The following is a 16,347-nucleotide window of genomic DNA, read 5'->3' as shown; positions in this document are numbered from 1 at the left end:
TAAGATGCTTTAACTTTACATAGAGTTGGAATTTTATAATTGCACCATGGATACACCAATGACTAAAGGGACACTTTTTTTGTGACTAGAAGTAATGGGGAAATTTTTTATATGTGATCTGAAAAGTCATGACACTTGCTTTAGATTTCACCTGAAAGAGAAACAAGCTCTCCAGTATAAATGTGAATAGGCAGGGGCAGAAAGATAAAGTAGTATTAGGAGTAATCCCCAAGGCCTTCTTTGTTCATGTAAAACAAGCTCAAATAATAGATTATTAACTATATAGTTCAAGCCACCTGAGTTCCCTTCCTCTTCTCAATTCCTTCTTTCCACCAGATGTAGTCATCTTTTTGAATTCAGATTATCATTCACATGCATTTCTTTTCATTTTACTCTATATGTGTTAATTAAGAATATATATACAAATGCTTTGGAAATTTTTGGAATTTATATCAGTGGTATTATATTCTGTATATTTTTAAGCTACCAGCTTTTCCAGGGAATTATAATTGTTGATTCTGTAACAGTAATTTGTTCATTTTCACTGGTATACGGTATCCCATTATGTAAACATGGCACATTTTATCCATTATTTTGTTAATAGGCACTTAAGTTGTTTCAATTTTATTGCTATTATAAATCTGCTCTGAGCATTCTTTATATGTGTTTTCTTTTCTATGTTCAAGAATTTCTTTGGGATATATACTCAAGAATGGAATTTCTTGCTTTGTTTTCTTCCACATATATTAAACAGAATTTGATTATTTGCATCCTTGGTTAATGATACATCCTCATCATTAGTCCATATGTGGCTGTTTTTGTTTGGCTAGCTGGTATAATCGTCTAATAAGCACCCTCGAAACCACTACTAAACATAAAAGCTAGTTCATACAATATTTACATATAAACAGTATAACCCCTCATCACAAACCCTGACTCTCCTGACCCAGAAGTAATCATTAATTTGAATCCCATGTTCATTGTCCCCTTGCTTTCTTTTTATTGTTATTTTATTACATCTATAAGTATTCCTAGAGATTTATTTTTAATTGTTTATTTTCATAAAAATAATTTCATGAACATTTACCCCTACATCACACCATACACAAAAATCAATTCAAAATGCATCTTATTTTGAGCTAAATAAAAATTTTAAAACAGCATATCAAAATTTGTTGGATGCAGCTAATATAATAATATGAGGGAAATTTATAGCAGTACATGCTTATATTAGAAAAAAAGAAAAAGGTCTAAAATCAATGACCTCAGTTTCACCTTAAGAGGCTAGAAAAGGAACAGTAAAGAAAACTCAAGGCTGTGTGTGGTGGATCACACCTGTAATCCCAGCACTTTGGAAGGCTGAGGCAGGGGGATCACGAGGTCAGGAGTTTAAGACCAGCCTGGCCAACATAGTGAAACCCTGTCTCTACTAAAAATACAAAAATTAGCTGGGTGTGGTGGCAGGCACCTGTAGTCCCAGCTACTCAGGAGGCTGAGGTAGGAGAATCACTTGAACCTGTGAGACAGGGGTTGCAGTGAGCTGAGACCATGCCACTGCACTCCAGCCTTGGTGACAGAGTGAGACTCCATCAAAACAAAACAAAACAAAACAAAAAACCTCAAAATAAGATGAAGAAAGAAATAATAAAGATCTATCAGAAAACTATGAAAGAAATAAAACCAATAGAAAGAAATCAACAACCAAAAAAATCAGTTAATTGAGAGATCCCTTGCCAGGCTGATCAGGAAAAAAGAAAGGACACAAAATATGAGTATCAGAAATGAGAGGTCACATCACTGTAGATTCCACAGATTTGAAAAGGATAATGAGAAAGTATCATGAGCAACATTGTGCCAGTAATTCAACAACTTGGATGAAATAGGCAAATTCCTTAAAACGTACAAAACTACCAAAATTCACTCAAGAAGAAATAAATAACTAAATAGCACTATTTAATTTAAAAATTCTTGATGCAAAACAGAAAAAGCAGGGGTTGCAGTCCTAATTTCAGACAAAACAGACTGTAACCCAACAAGGATTAAAAAAAAAGACAAAGAAGAACATTACATAATGGTAAAGAGTTCAATTCAACAAGAAGACCTAATATTCTAAATCTATATTCACCAATGCAGGTGTACCCAGATTCATAACACAAGTTTTTAGACACCTATGAAGTAACTTAGATTCACACACAATAATAATGGCAGACTTCAACAGATCATTAAGACAGAAAATTGATAAAGAGATTCAGGCCCTGAACTCAACACTTGACCAAATGGACCTAATAGACTCTACAGAATTCTCCAACAAAGACAACAGAATATACATTATTTTTATCGCCACATGGTACATACTCTAAAATCAAACATGCAATCAGACATGAGACAATGTTCAGCAAACTCAAAAAAACTGAAATCATATCAACCATACTCTCAGACCACAGCACAGCAAAAATAGAAATCAAGGCCAAGAAAATCACTCAAAACCATGAAAGTACGTGGAAATTAAACAACCTGCTCCTGAATAACTCTTGGGTAAATAATGAAATTAAGGCAGAAATCAACAAGTTTTTTGTAATGAGAACAAAGACACAACATACCAGAATCTTTGGGACACAGCTAATGCAAGGTTAACAGGGAAATTTATAATACCAAACACCCACATCAAAAAGTTACAAAGATCTCAAATTAACAACCTAACATTACAACTGGAAAAACTAGAGAAGCAACAGCAAATTAACCCCAAACCTAGCAAAAGACAAGAAATAACCAAAATCAGAGCTGAACTTCAGGAAATAAAGATAGAAAAAGCCATACAAAAGATCAATACATTCAGAAGTTGACTCTTTGAAAAAAACTTACAAGATAGACCACTAGCTAGACTAATAAAAAAGAAAAGAGAAGATCCAAATATACACAATTAAAAATGGCAAAATGTATGTTATCACTGACCCAACAGAAATAAAAATAACCATCAGAGACTACTGTGAATATGTCTATGCACACAAACTAGAAAATCTAGAAGAAATGGATAAATTCCTGGACACATACATCCTCCCAAGACTGAACCAGGAAGAAATTGAATTGCTGAATAGACCAAAAACAAGCTCTGAAACAGAATCAGTAATAAATAGCCTACCAACTGAAAAAAGCCCAGAACCAGATGGATTCATGGGTGAATTCTACCAGACGTACAAAGAAGAGCTTGTACCATTCCTGCTGAAGCCATTCCAAAAAATTGAGGAGGAGAGATTCATCCCCAACTCATTCCATGAGGCCAGCATTGCCCTGATACTAAAACCTGGCAGAAACAAAACAATAAAAGAAAATTTCAGGCCAATATCCTTGATAAATATAGAGGCAAATATCCTTTTAAAAATACTAGTAAACTAAATCCAGCAGCACATGAAAAAGCAAATCCACCATGATCAAGTAGGCTTTATCTCTGGGATTCAAGGTTGGTTCTACATATGCAAATCAATGAATATGATTAAACACATAAACAGAGCTAAAGACAAAAACCACATGATTATCTCAATAGATACAAAAATGGCTTTCGATAAAATTCAACACCCCTTCATGTTAAAAACCCTCAGTAAACCAGGCATTAAAGGAACATACTTCAAAATAGTAACAGCCATCTATGACAAACCAACAGCCAACATTATACTGAATGGGCAAAAGCTGGAAGCATTCCCCTTGAAAACTGGAATATGACAAAGATGCCCACTCTCATCACTCCTATCCAACATAGCATTTAAAGTCCTGGCCAGAGCAATCAGGCAAGAGAAAGAATAAAAGGCATCCAAATAGGAAAAGAGCAAGTCAAATTATCCCTGTTTGCAAACAACATGCTTCTATATCTGAAAAACCTTATAGTTTTTGTGCAAAAGCTCCTTGACCTGATAATCAACTTCTGCAAAGTTTCAAGATACAAAATCAATGTACAAAAATCAGTACAAAATCAATGTACAAAATCAATGTACAAAAATACACTAACAGCACCCAAGCCAAGAGCCAAATTAAGAACACAATCTCATTCACAACTGCCACACACAAAAAATAAAATACCTAGAAATGCAGCTAACCATGAAACTGAACAATCTCTACAATGAGAATTACAAAAACTGCTCAAAGAAATCAGAGATGATACAAACAAGTGGAAAAACACTCCATGCTCGTGGATAGGAAGAATCGATTTTGTTAAAATGGCCGTACTGCCCAAAGCAATTTACAGATTCAATGTTGTTCCTATAAAACTACTGATGACATTCTTCACAGATCTAGGGAAAATTATTTTAAAATTTATATGGAACTAAAAAGGAGCCCAAATAGCCAAGGGAATCCTTAGCACAAAAGAACAAAGCTAGAGGCATCACATTACCCAACTTCACACTATACTACAGGGCTACAGGAAACAAAATATCATAGTACCGGTACAAAAACAGGCACATAGACCAACAGAACAAAATAGAGAGCCCAGAAATAAAGCCACACACCTACAACCATCTGATCTTTGACAAAGCTGACAAAATCAAGCAATGGGGAAAGGAAACTCTATTCAATAAATGGTGCTAAGATAACTGGCTAGCTATTTGCAGAGGATTGAAATTAGATCCTGTCCTTACACCATACACAAAAATCAATTCAAGATGGATTAAACACCTAAAAGCGCTATATGTGTATATGACAGTTTCATGGAATGTATGCGTGTGTATACACATACGTGTGTATATACATACACGTTTCATGAAACTATGATACAATACTACATATGTACCGATGTATATACATACATATACACATAGAAACACATCTATCAAATTGTATACTTTAAACGTGCAATTTATTGTATGTTAACTAACCCTTAACAAAGCTGTTAATAAAACAACTACCATTATAAGGATACATTGTACATCTATTCTTCTAGTTTTGTTAAATGTTCCATTATATAGTTAGAAACCACATGATTCATTGCATACTGTATACTGTATATTCCTGTTTAATAGAACCATATATCATTCTGTGGTATGACTGTAGTATAGAAAACTGGTAGAATTCCTTTTAAACCCATACCACCCTTGTTCCACTGTAGTGGAACTTTTAACATGGCATATGGCTGCTGGGAATAAATAATACATTTCTCAGCTTCTCTTCAGTTTAAAGTGTGGTCATTTGACTAAGTTCTGCCCAATGGGTGTGAGTGTAAGTGAAGTGTATTACTTCTTCTTTTTTCTTTAAAAATAGAAGATGTTCCATTTAACTTCTAACACTTTCTAACATACTCTGTACTGCTGCTTGAAAGGCTGATTGATGGCAAGAAGTTTGGGACTATATTATAGAGCAAGAAGATTGGAGGAGCTTGGATTCTTACACACCCTGGCGGAACAAAACGGCCTTCTTCGTGTTTTTAAGAAAGAAAAAAATATATTTTCATGTTGCCCATGTGACTATGATTTTGTTTTCCTATTTTCCAGCCAATCCTAGATCCTGACAATTACAAAATTTCATATCTGTACAAGATTATGTCCTATAATAAACTCTAGAATAAATGGTAATCAGAAGATTTTGGATAGCAGAGTTGGGAAAGGTGAGGATGTTTTTGTTGTATAAACAAAAAACCAAACACACACACACACAATTGTTCAAACTTTAGACTGTAGTCCCTTGGAAGGTAGACCATATCTTCAAGGACGTAGCAAGAGGAGGAAATGTAGACTGTCTTAATCTGTTTTGTGTTGCTTTAACAGAATGTTGGAGACTTCCAACACTGCATAATTAATTGTAAAAAAGATGTTTTTTTCTTATAGTCCTGGAGACTGAGAACTCCAAGATTCAGGGGCCACATCTGGAGAGGGCCTTTTTGTTGCATCAGAACTTTGCAGAAGGCATCATACAGACAGAAAGCATCTGAGAAACAAGGAAAGATAGGACCAAATTAGCTTTTATACCAAATCCACTCTTGTGATAAGAAACCCACTTCTGAGATAACAACATTTGTCACCTCTTAAATGTCCCACCTCTCAAGACTGTTGCATTGGGGAGGAAGGTTTCAATACATGAATTTTAGGGGGCACAGTCAAACCATAGCATTGGCAAAATTCAAAATGTTGGTGTTCATTGACTATTTCCTTTCACTTTTAGCAGAGCCCTATAAAAGAGAGAGAAATTCAATTGACAGCTAATTAGTCTGCAAGTAGAGATGGAGAATGGGCCTCTGGGCAAGAAAAAAGTGCTTTCTGCCTGTGGCCTGCAATAGAAGTAGACTTGGAACCTGGCTATCAGGAGCCTTGCATGGTTATAAGAGCCAAATACTTTTTGTTCCCCAGACATAAGGTACAACAGATGATAGAATCAAAGCTAAAATGTATGCAGCTTGTAAATTGATTTTCATCTTATCTAATATTTGAGACAACTACTTGTTATGACAATAAAAAGTTGTTTGCTTAAAACATAAGAATCAGAAATAACCTTACAGATAGCACCCTAGGATTTCTTCATTATTTCTATACAACCAAATAAAAATTAAAATTGAAAATTAAAATTAAAAAATCAATCAGTAACATTGTAGGGTAATTCATGTGGTTGTTTTCTATGTAACATTAACTTATTTAACATTTTATTCTCACTGAAGAGTTTGCTTTATTGATGCCTTGTGTTTGGAACCCAGCAGTATAAATTGTAACATTTCACAATACCTAAACTCTGATGGAATTATTAAAGTGTCATAACAAGTCAAGTAGAAAAATCATAGAGAGACTATTAACGATTTAATAGTTCTAGTTCATGTGGGAATGCTAATCCCACTGAAGTACAGAAGTTATGGTTATAATGATTAAGAACTTATAAGAAGAGAAATGAAAAATGTGAAATTCATATTAAAAGTATGATATAAAACAATTATTATAAATTGACAGTGAGTCATGCAGTAAAATTTAAGCTAACTTTCCTAGGAAACTATTACCTTGTGAATTTGAACATTTATACCGATTTATCTCACATGGGCAGTACTCAACCCTCCCATTTTTATTAACCTTAGAAAAATGTGGTTGCTTCAGGATGTAGATAGTGCTGTCAATGACCTTCCCAGATACCCTCTGATCTTTTTTGCCATTTTCAGGAATCTCTCCTCTGCCTTCCCTGTGTTTTTTCTCCCACAGGCAGTACCTTCTTTTAGAAAACCTCTCATGTAACTGGAACATCTTTACCTACATGCACAGAGAGCAGGAGTACAGGGAGTTTATGTCCACGGTGGAGGCTCTTAGTCAATGACTGACCTGTGAGTCCAGATGAAAGCTCAGTGCCTCTGTACTGTATTGCAAAGGGACACTTCTGATGTGTAACATACACTTCAGAGGTCCCCTTGCCTGAGAGGCTGAAGGAACCCTCCATAGTCCTTGCTTGGCTACTTCCCCACTCTCTGTTCTTTTCCAGCTCCCTACTTTGCTTGTTTCTCCAGGAGCACTTTCTCAATAAATCATTTGCACGAGAATTTGAGCTTCAGAGATTGCTTCTCTGGCACCTGATAAGACAAAAGGGCTTATAAATGGACTTATTTTGGACAACAACAAAAAAAGTAAAGTCTGGGAGTAGGGTTAGGGCAGTTACATAATATTTGCTCTAACGATACAGTAATATTGCCAAGTTTAAATTATTAATTAAAGTGTAAGAACTAATAGATTAGTAGAACTCATTAAAACACTTTTAGGAAAAAATGATTACAGGACTGAATAAAAAGAGTTGGCAGAAAACAATATAGCACAACCTGTAAGTGTATAGCCATTTCCATTGGAAAGTAATTAGATGTGTTGGACTATATGTTAGCAACTTATTCCTAAGCAAATTAATATTTTAGCATAGTGATGGCTATTAGTGCTGTACCCTGCAAAGCAGTACATGATAATCAGGCACCTCTAAAGCAGGGTTTGTCAACCTCCACTCTATGGACATCCTAGGCCAGACAATTCTGTGTTGTTGAGAGGCGTTGTGCACATCAAAGCGTGCTTAGCATCACTGGTCTCTACCAACTAGACACCAGTAGCACCCTCTTCCCAGTCATGACTGTTGAAAATGTCTCCAGATCTCCCCAGATAACCCCAGAAGGAAAAAATTACTATTTAAAGTCAAGTGATCTGCTTGCTCAAGAAGATCAGTAAACTCATTTACCATGAAGAATCTAAAATATTTACATATAATAAATATATTTGTTTTGATTTCTACTACCTTTTATATGTATAAGTCATTCACTTTTTAGAAAATCACATTCTAAATGAAGACACAATAGCTTACTTTACTGGTTGACAAGACTGGATAGTCTTTTTGAGAAATGCCAGCATCGATAAAACTAGTTCATACAGAAGTACAGAATTAATCACATAGAGATAATTGTGATATTTTTTCAAATGGAACTTTTGTTCATACATATTTAAATTCTGGTTATAAAGATACAAATATTTGCTCAGACTTCTATGGACAGAATTCCTAACAAATAATCTTTTCAGATAAAGATTATTATAACTCTGTTCTGCATACTTGTCTATACAGTATAGTATACTGCATGAATAATTTATTTTGTGAATAGGATGATCAGATTAATGAGATTTTTCAGGAGTAGTGAAGAGAAGGGAGAGTTACTGATGGCACGGTTGGGCTAGAAAGTATTACAGTTGAGTTGACATTATTGTATCAATATCAACCCACAGCGGGTATGGCAGTATTAACCAGATCAGTGTATATACAGCCTTCTCTCATTCAATGATTTATTAGTGACTTGAATGGGGATCTAAAAAGAATGGCTTGTCAAGTTTCCAGATGACAAAGTTTGAAGAAATTTACATATATTATATAATAAAATAAAAAATTAAAAGTGTGAGAAATATATGTTTTAACAAAAATGCGCTTAACAAAATGAAAAGAAAGAAATAAGTGGAGAAGTCAACATATTAGCTTCAAAATCAAAGGCCCTGCTCCTCTTTCTATTTTCCTCCAGCAATGGCAGGATCCATCTGCACAACTCCTGTACTGCATCCACTTAATCACTAGGTTTCCAAGCCTTGTTGGAAAGCATAGCAGGAATTCATGACCTCCACTGCACGGGAGGTGTCTCTGCCTGAGTCAAGGCCTCATTATTGCTGCCTGACTGTAATAGGTGCCTAATTCATCTTCTTCTAGCCACACTCACTTTGAATTCACTCTAGCATGGTAGTCATAGTTCACTCTCAGAAACATGCACTGGACCACTTCTGCCTCCTGCTAAAAACCTAGATATGGTTCTCTCCTCTCCTTCCTTCTCCAGGCTCTCCTGTCACTCTTGTTTCACACCTACTCTCCATTAATACCAAAGTCCTGATACTGTTGACATACAAATATCATGCTATTTCTTGCCTCCATGAATCCACTCAGATTGCTCTTTCAATCTGCAATGCATTTCCCAAAAGTTTAGTCATGGGCCTAAGCCCCATTCATCTATCATGATTTAATTCAGGCACGATTTCCTCCAGAAAGCCTCCACTCAATCCCAAAATTAGAGCAATGTTTCAGCAGCATTCTGCACATAGTGTTCAGGGAAGAAAGATACACAGCCCTTTCTCTATTTCCCTTCTTCACACTCTTCCCCATGCACGAGTAAGAGTGAAGAGCCAAGTTTATTTCATTCTTCATTATACTACTGGGTGAAGTTTTAAGTATGATGAGGAGAGATGTTAACCTTTGGATTCTGTGTCAGTTTAACAAAGCTGCCATACAAAATACCACATACTGAGTGGCTTAAGCACAGACAATTATTTTCTCACAGTTCTGGAAGCTGGAGGTCCAAGATCAAGGCGTCAGCAGGTTTGGTTTCTTCTGAGGCCTCTCTTTCTGGCCTCAAGGATGGCCACCTTCTCACCATGTCCTCACACGACCTCTCCTCTGTGCTCGTTCACCTGGAGTGTCTCTGTGCATTCCAAATTTCCTCCTCCTATAATGACATTAGAATGGACTGCAGACACAATTCAGTCCATAACAAATTCCAAGTAAGATTCATCAATTTTTGAACTCTTTTTTTTTTTTTTTTTTTTTTTTTCAGAAGCCTGAGGAGGTAAGGTTTATCCTGGAACTTGTTGCCTCACAGGAAGTGCCTCTGCCATTTATCTTTCTCCACACTGTCATAGCAAAAGGCAGGAGAGATGGTGAAGAGCCAGTCATCTGCTGCTGCCTCAAAGTTCCAAGCCATCTTTCTGGCCAAGATGTTCCATCAGTCCTCTAACTCTTCTTCCCATATAAATGAAAGGAGATTTTCACCAATTTATCTCATCTCCAGCCTCTTGACCCAGTTAATATGACCCAATTTTATCCATGTAAAATTGATAATGCCAACTGCCAATTCATTCAATGTTTACTTCAATAGTTCTGTTGTGGTCTTATGATTATCCCCGTTTTACAGACACAGAAACTGAGGTTTTGGAAAATTTACTTATTCAAGATGGCATACTCATGAATGGAAGACCTGGGATTTGAAACACAACTCACTGAATCCCAAAATCTGGACTCTTTCTGATAAGTCAGACTATCAGAAAGAGTATGGCATATACTCTGGACTCCCAGAAAGTCATTAGCTATTTCTTGTGAATTGACAATTACATCAATAGCTGCATAGTTTTTCCTAAATGTATTTGATTCTAAACAAAATAATGTTCTCATACTTTAGAAAAAATAACCTTAGTTATAAATAAAATAATTCTGAAAATAACAGATACTGGCATCTTAGTAGATAAACATGCTTAGATTAAAAGAAAGGTCTCTAGAATAAGTTGCTGTTAGAAATTTAATCTATATGCCTTAATGTTTTCTTTTGATACAACAAATATAGTGAATCAAAGTAATTTACTTACTTTCATTTTAATAAACAAAACTGAACAAAAAACAAAAGGTAAAGTAAAGCATCTTTCATTTCACATTTATCACAAAATCCCAGCATTTAAAAATACAAATAATATTTAAAGAAGCCTTCTTCTCCTTCTTTTCCTCCATCTTCCCCTCCCACTCCTCATTCTCCATCTTCTCTTGCAAATATCTTCTTAAAGTAAGGAATAGTGTCACTGAATTGGATCTTTATACCAAGTGGAGCACCAAGTCCATTCTTGTATTTTATTTTCTCTGAAAAATGCTATAAAATCTGGTTCCCCACAGCTATCCTACAACAAAGAGGAGAATGTAAACTATACATTTGCAAAATTCTGTAATTTTTAAATTGTGATACTCTAAACACCATTGTTTCATCTTGGACAGCTGGTTTTCTCCTTTCTTTAGAATTCAAAAGCTGTAATAATACCCAAACGTATTACTTATTTGATTCAGACAACTTAAGAACTACAAGATTCTGTTTCAAAATATCTTCTTTATTAATACTATATGATAATATCACAAATACATCTTGAAAGTATGAGAAAATATGTGACATGGATTAGTGATAATGACATAAAAAACACCAACGCAGCATTCACATCAACAAGCAAATGGAACAGAAATCCTGCATTTTTGGATCAGGCCTCATGCAATTATGAAACACCATTTCTTAAAGATAAAAGCATATGTAATAATAATAACAATTTTACGTAAATGTGTACATACATCTCGGAAAAATATATTGTCAGAATATAATTTTTTTCTGGAACACCACTAATATTTTCTTGGGAAAAGCTGAGTTGTTGACTTGCAGAGTGCAATAGTTTGGATGTTTGACCCTTCCAAATCTCATTTTGAAACTGATCCCCAATGTTGGAGATAGGGCCTACAGGGAGGTTCTTGGGCTATGAGAGTGGATCCCTCATGAATACATTAATGCTCTCCTTTGGCGAGAGGTGAATGAGTTCTCACTCTCTTAGTTCCTGTGACAGCTGGGTGTTAAAAAAGAGCTTGGCACTTCCCCTCACACTCTCTTGCCTCATCTCTCACAATGTGATCTGTGCACACACCGGCTTCCTTTCCTCTTCTGCCATGAATGGAAGCAGTCTGAGGCCTCTCAAGGTACCAATGCTGGTACCATGCTTCTTGTATAGCTTGCAGAACTGTGAGCCAAATAAACTTCTTTTTTTAAAAAAAAAAAATAAGTTATCCATGCCTGAGGTATTTCTTTATTATTTATTTATTTATTGATATAGAGTCTCACTTTGTTGCCCAAGCTGGAGTGCAGTGGTGCACTCTTGGCTCACTGCAACCACCAATTCCCTGCAATCTCTGCCTTCTGGGTTCAAGCAATAATTATGCCTCAGCCTCCCAGGTAGCTGGGATTACAGGCATGCACTACCATGCCTGGCTAATTTTTGTATTTCTAATAGAAATGGGGTTTACCATGTTGGCCAGCCTGGTCTTGAACTCCCGACCTCAGGTGATCCACCCACCTCGGCCTTGCAAAGTGCTGGGATTACAGGCATAAGCCACTGTCCCCAGCCAGGTATTCCTTTATAGCAACACAAATGGACTAAAACACAGAGTAATTTCTATAATAATAGTTCAGTTTTCTTAAATCCTTCTGACTTCCTAACAGGAGAAACTGTCAAAGAGTTGAAGATTATTTTTACAAATGAGAGACATATAGAAAAATGTTTAAAGCAAATAAGAGTATGGAATTTGGATCTGCAATGAATTTATTATCATAAACTTTCATTCACAGGTACTCATTCTTCGTCTTTCCATCTCTCTCACTTACACACACAAACACACAGTTACACACATATAACATATTCAGATCCTCTAGTTCAGATCTTACTAAGACAGACAGCAGCTTTGGCTATGGTGGTGGTTTGTTTGAATGTTCCATGGGTAAGTCCATTCTCCAGATATTCTTAGAGAGAAGAAAGCCAGCTCAAGTTTTCAGTAATAAGCCTAATTCACCTAACATGGTCTCTGTCTTGTAGTGGAGATCCATTTTCTCCAGGCCAATTTTCTTTCTCATATAGATTCATTTGGCCTTCTGAATTCTTCATTCTAACTAGATTATACTTACCTACAAATAAACAAATGCAAATTAAATTTCTCAACAACCATTATAAATTTTTTTTCTCTCCTTTCACTCCCTTTGTGGTTTAACTTAGAACATGAGTTTTCTGTTTCTGGATCAACTATGGTTTCAACACATGCTGTTGTGTTGTTTACTAATGACTGGTCAAGCTTGCTCTTAGAGTTTGCCAGAGTGTTACAATAGTTACTGCTACTTTTTTTCTTTTAATCAATGGAGACTGCCTTTAGATCTGAGATTTTCTCAAAGTGGAATTTTATGGACAAGAGACACGAGATCTTGAGGCTAACTTTATCCCATGGGAGAAAAAAGGAGACATAAAATAGAAAGCTTACCAAAATTGTACTTAAAATTCTAGACTTTCATGCCACTGAATTTAAGAACATGGGAAATATATCTTGTGTCTGAATGAATTAAAACCTGAACCATTCCAAATTGTTTTGAGCCAAGCTTTCACAATGTTAATTTATTTAAGCTGTTCAGACCTCATCTCAGATCACATTTATCATAATAATGGTAACACTTTTAGATCTAGGACACAATTTGTCATTTAAAAGAAATGCATGGAATGCTATATTTAAGATACCTTATTTTAAATTACAACAAATCTCTAAAGCAAATATCCCTTGCCCTCAAGCTCCATTTGTTAATTCTCCATTAAAATGCATCCTTTTCTCACTTACTGTTCCAATGAGCATACCCACCCACTTACCATGAAATCATTATTAAATATTGATCAGAACCTTAGCTTCATCCAAAGGTATAGTATGTAGTTAATCACAGCTTCAAAGAGAAGCTTTTGTATTTTAAACACATTTTGAAACTTTATAAGGCCAATCATGTCAAGATTAGGCCTTAGATTTTAAACTATGCCATTAGCAAAATGAGGCATCTTTAAGCATGATTTGTATCAACAAACAAAAATGGGACCATTCCAAGAATGTACAAAAATTAATACAGTAATGAAAAATGATCTCCTTTAAGTAAAATTAAAAACATGTGAGATTAAAATTACCATATCCTTTTCTCTAGTTCCTCTTTTAAAAAATCTCTTTCTCTATGTGATCTTCTATACTTATCAATTACTGAATAAGTCATTCTTTTGTTGGCCTGATTATAAAATCCTTTGCCTTCATTAAAATAATAAAATAATTCCAAGAACCATTTGCCTGGACTCTGTAGGGGATCAGAAAATCCCACCCCAAAATATGCCACTTTGGCATAAGAATTATTTTGAGTTGAAGACAAGTAAGAAACACCAGAGGCAGAATAAAAACTCTCTGCCCTCCCTTATCTGGCCAAAAGCAGGACATAAATTCCATTTGTAAAGGTGTCTCCCTCTCCTATAACAAGAAGGGGAGGATAACTCTTAGACTTTTAATCACCAGAGATGACTCAAGACTCTTATCTACCCACAAATGGCACCAGAAGAAGCTGCATGACAAACCTTACTAAACAACCCTTATCTCCCACTAGTTTCTCCATATATTTGCCTTTCCAGAGTTTCCCACCCTAAAAAGCCTAAATCCCTTTTCCTTTGTTTCGTTACTTCTCTGCAATGTATTATTCTTTGTTAAGATGCTACAGAAGCCTGAAGTTCTGACCACCCCTTTGAGTTACATGTCAGTGAAATTCTCCCACCTATATATGTGCTGTAGATGTTAATAAACTTTGTTTTTCTCTTTGTCTGTTTAATCTGCCTTTTGTCAGTTTAATTTACAGGGCCCCAGTCACAGAACCTAGGAGGGTAGAGAAAAAGTTTATTTATTCTCCTTTATAACTTCAAATCAATCTTGCTAACTGGGACAGAGAGAGGAAATAAAGTCGCATGTAAGGGTTGTATACAAGGTTTCTTTATTGGTTACCATTCTCCCTCATGCCATGTGAACAAGTGAAAGGGCAGGGTAAAGAACATAACAATTTGAAAAATTATTTCTTCTTTTCATTGTTTATCATGCTTCCTACCACACACAAATAATACAATAAATAAAAGGGCTATTTAGAAGGTCCTCTAAAATAGAACAAAACACACTAACTTCCTTTCTGTTCTGTCCTCCAGGGCCACGAAGAAAATATTCTTGAATACAAACTGGTAGGAAAAAAAGTTTACACCAATAGAAATCCATGCACTGTTCATAGAGCATCCTTTTTTCTTATCTGATGCTGAATCTGAGGAGGTATTTCACAACTCTGTAAATCTTAGGTAACTGATAGCAGTGCAAAATTTTTATCTCAAGTTATGCAGATTCTGATCTGTCTGATAGAAGTTTGTCTTCCCTTCCTCCCTGTGGAAAAACCAGTTTTATGTCCACTTGCAAATTCACTTCAGTATTTCTGATCTGTAAATGTGACTGTATTTTTGAGTCTCTTTTGAAACAGTTTTAACATTTGCCTTGTTTCATCAATGAATGAGTTAAATAAAATGTTTAACACATATTCATTTTTATACTGTACTAGAGTCAGGATTTTTCCTCTTATTTGAAAATGATCTTTTACCATGTCTCAATATGCTTTTACCCTGCTCAAATCCATTGGCTGGTGTCTCAGAGTACTGTCAATTCAGTATTAAATGTCCGCCTTAGTCCTAAGTACCTCTTCCACCAGTCTTTGCTCAGTTAACATGGAACTGATTACAATTGTTTTAAAGCCTCCATGCTGATTCACATCTTTATGCCTTTGTATAAGCTGATCACATGTTTGAAATGCCCTCTCTTCCCTTCTTTTCTGCCCAAGAAATTTTACATACATCTTTTACAGCTCTGATTTTACATTATCTCTTCCAGGAAGCATTTCTTGATTCCTGCTTCTGCTGCCACCCCACCCACATCCACAGGACACATTTAAGGAGCTGTTAAAGAAAATCAGAGCCAGACAGAAATTAAAGTGGTGAAGTTAAATTATACATTTAGAAAACTATTGTAGTAGAGAAAAAGAGACTCCAATATGGAACCTAGCTCAATTCGAAATACAGCATGAACAAGTGGGGATTTATAGCCAAGAAGCAGGATCAGTGGACAGAAAATTACTAAGCAGTGAAGGGAGGATTCTGGCTAAACGACCTGACAGGATTCTCGCTGAAGGCAGGCCAATATAATCAAACACCAAGGCTGAAGAATTTGGAATTTGATCAGATATTAAGGGTGATCAGATATTGAGGATGGGGATTCTTGCTAAACGAACTCAGCAGGATTTTTGCTAAGACTGGATGATACAAAGAAACATGAAGAAATCTAAAGATTGGGAGGCAGTTGAGAAGAGGGCTCAGAAGAGCCTGACCAAAGTTAGGTTAAGGAGAGAATTGTTTTCAGAACTGCAGTTCATTCCAGACAGCTTATGCAAAGGGATGGAGA

Source organism: Homo sapiens, chromosome 1 (assembly GCF_000001405.40).
Source record: "Homo sapiens chromosome 1, GRCh38.p14 Primary Assembly".
Classification (NCBI taxonomy): domain Eukaryota; kingdom Metazoa; phylum Chordata; class Mammalia; order Primates; family Hominidae; genus Homo; species Homo sapiens.
Note: the sequence above shows the minus strand (reverse complement) of the source record.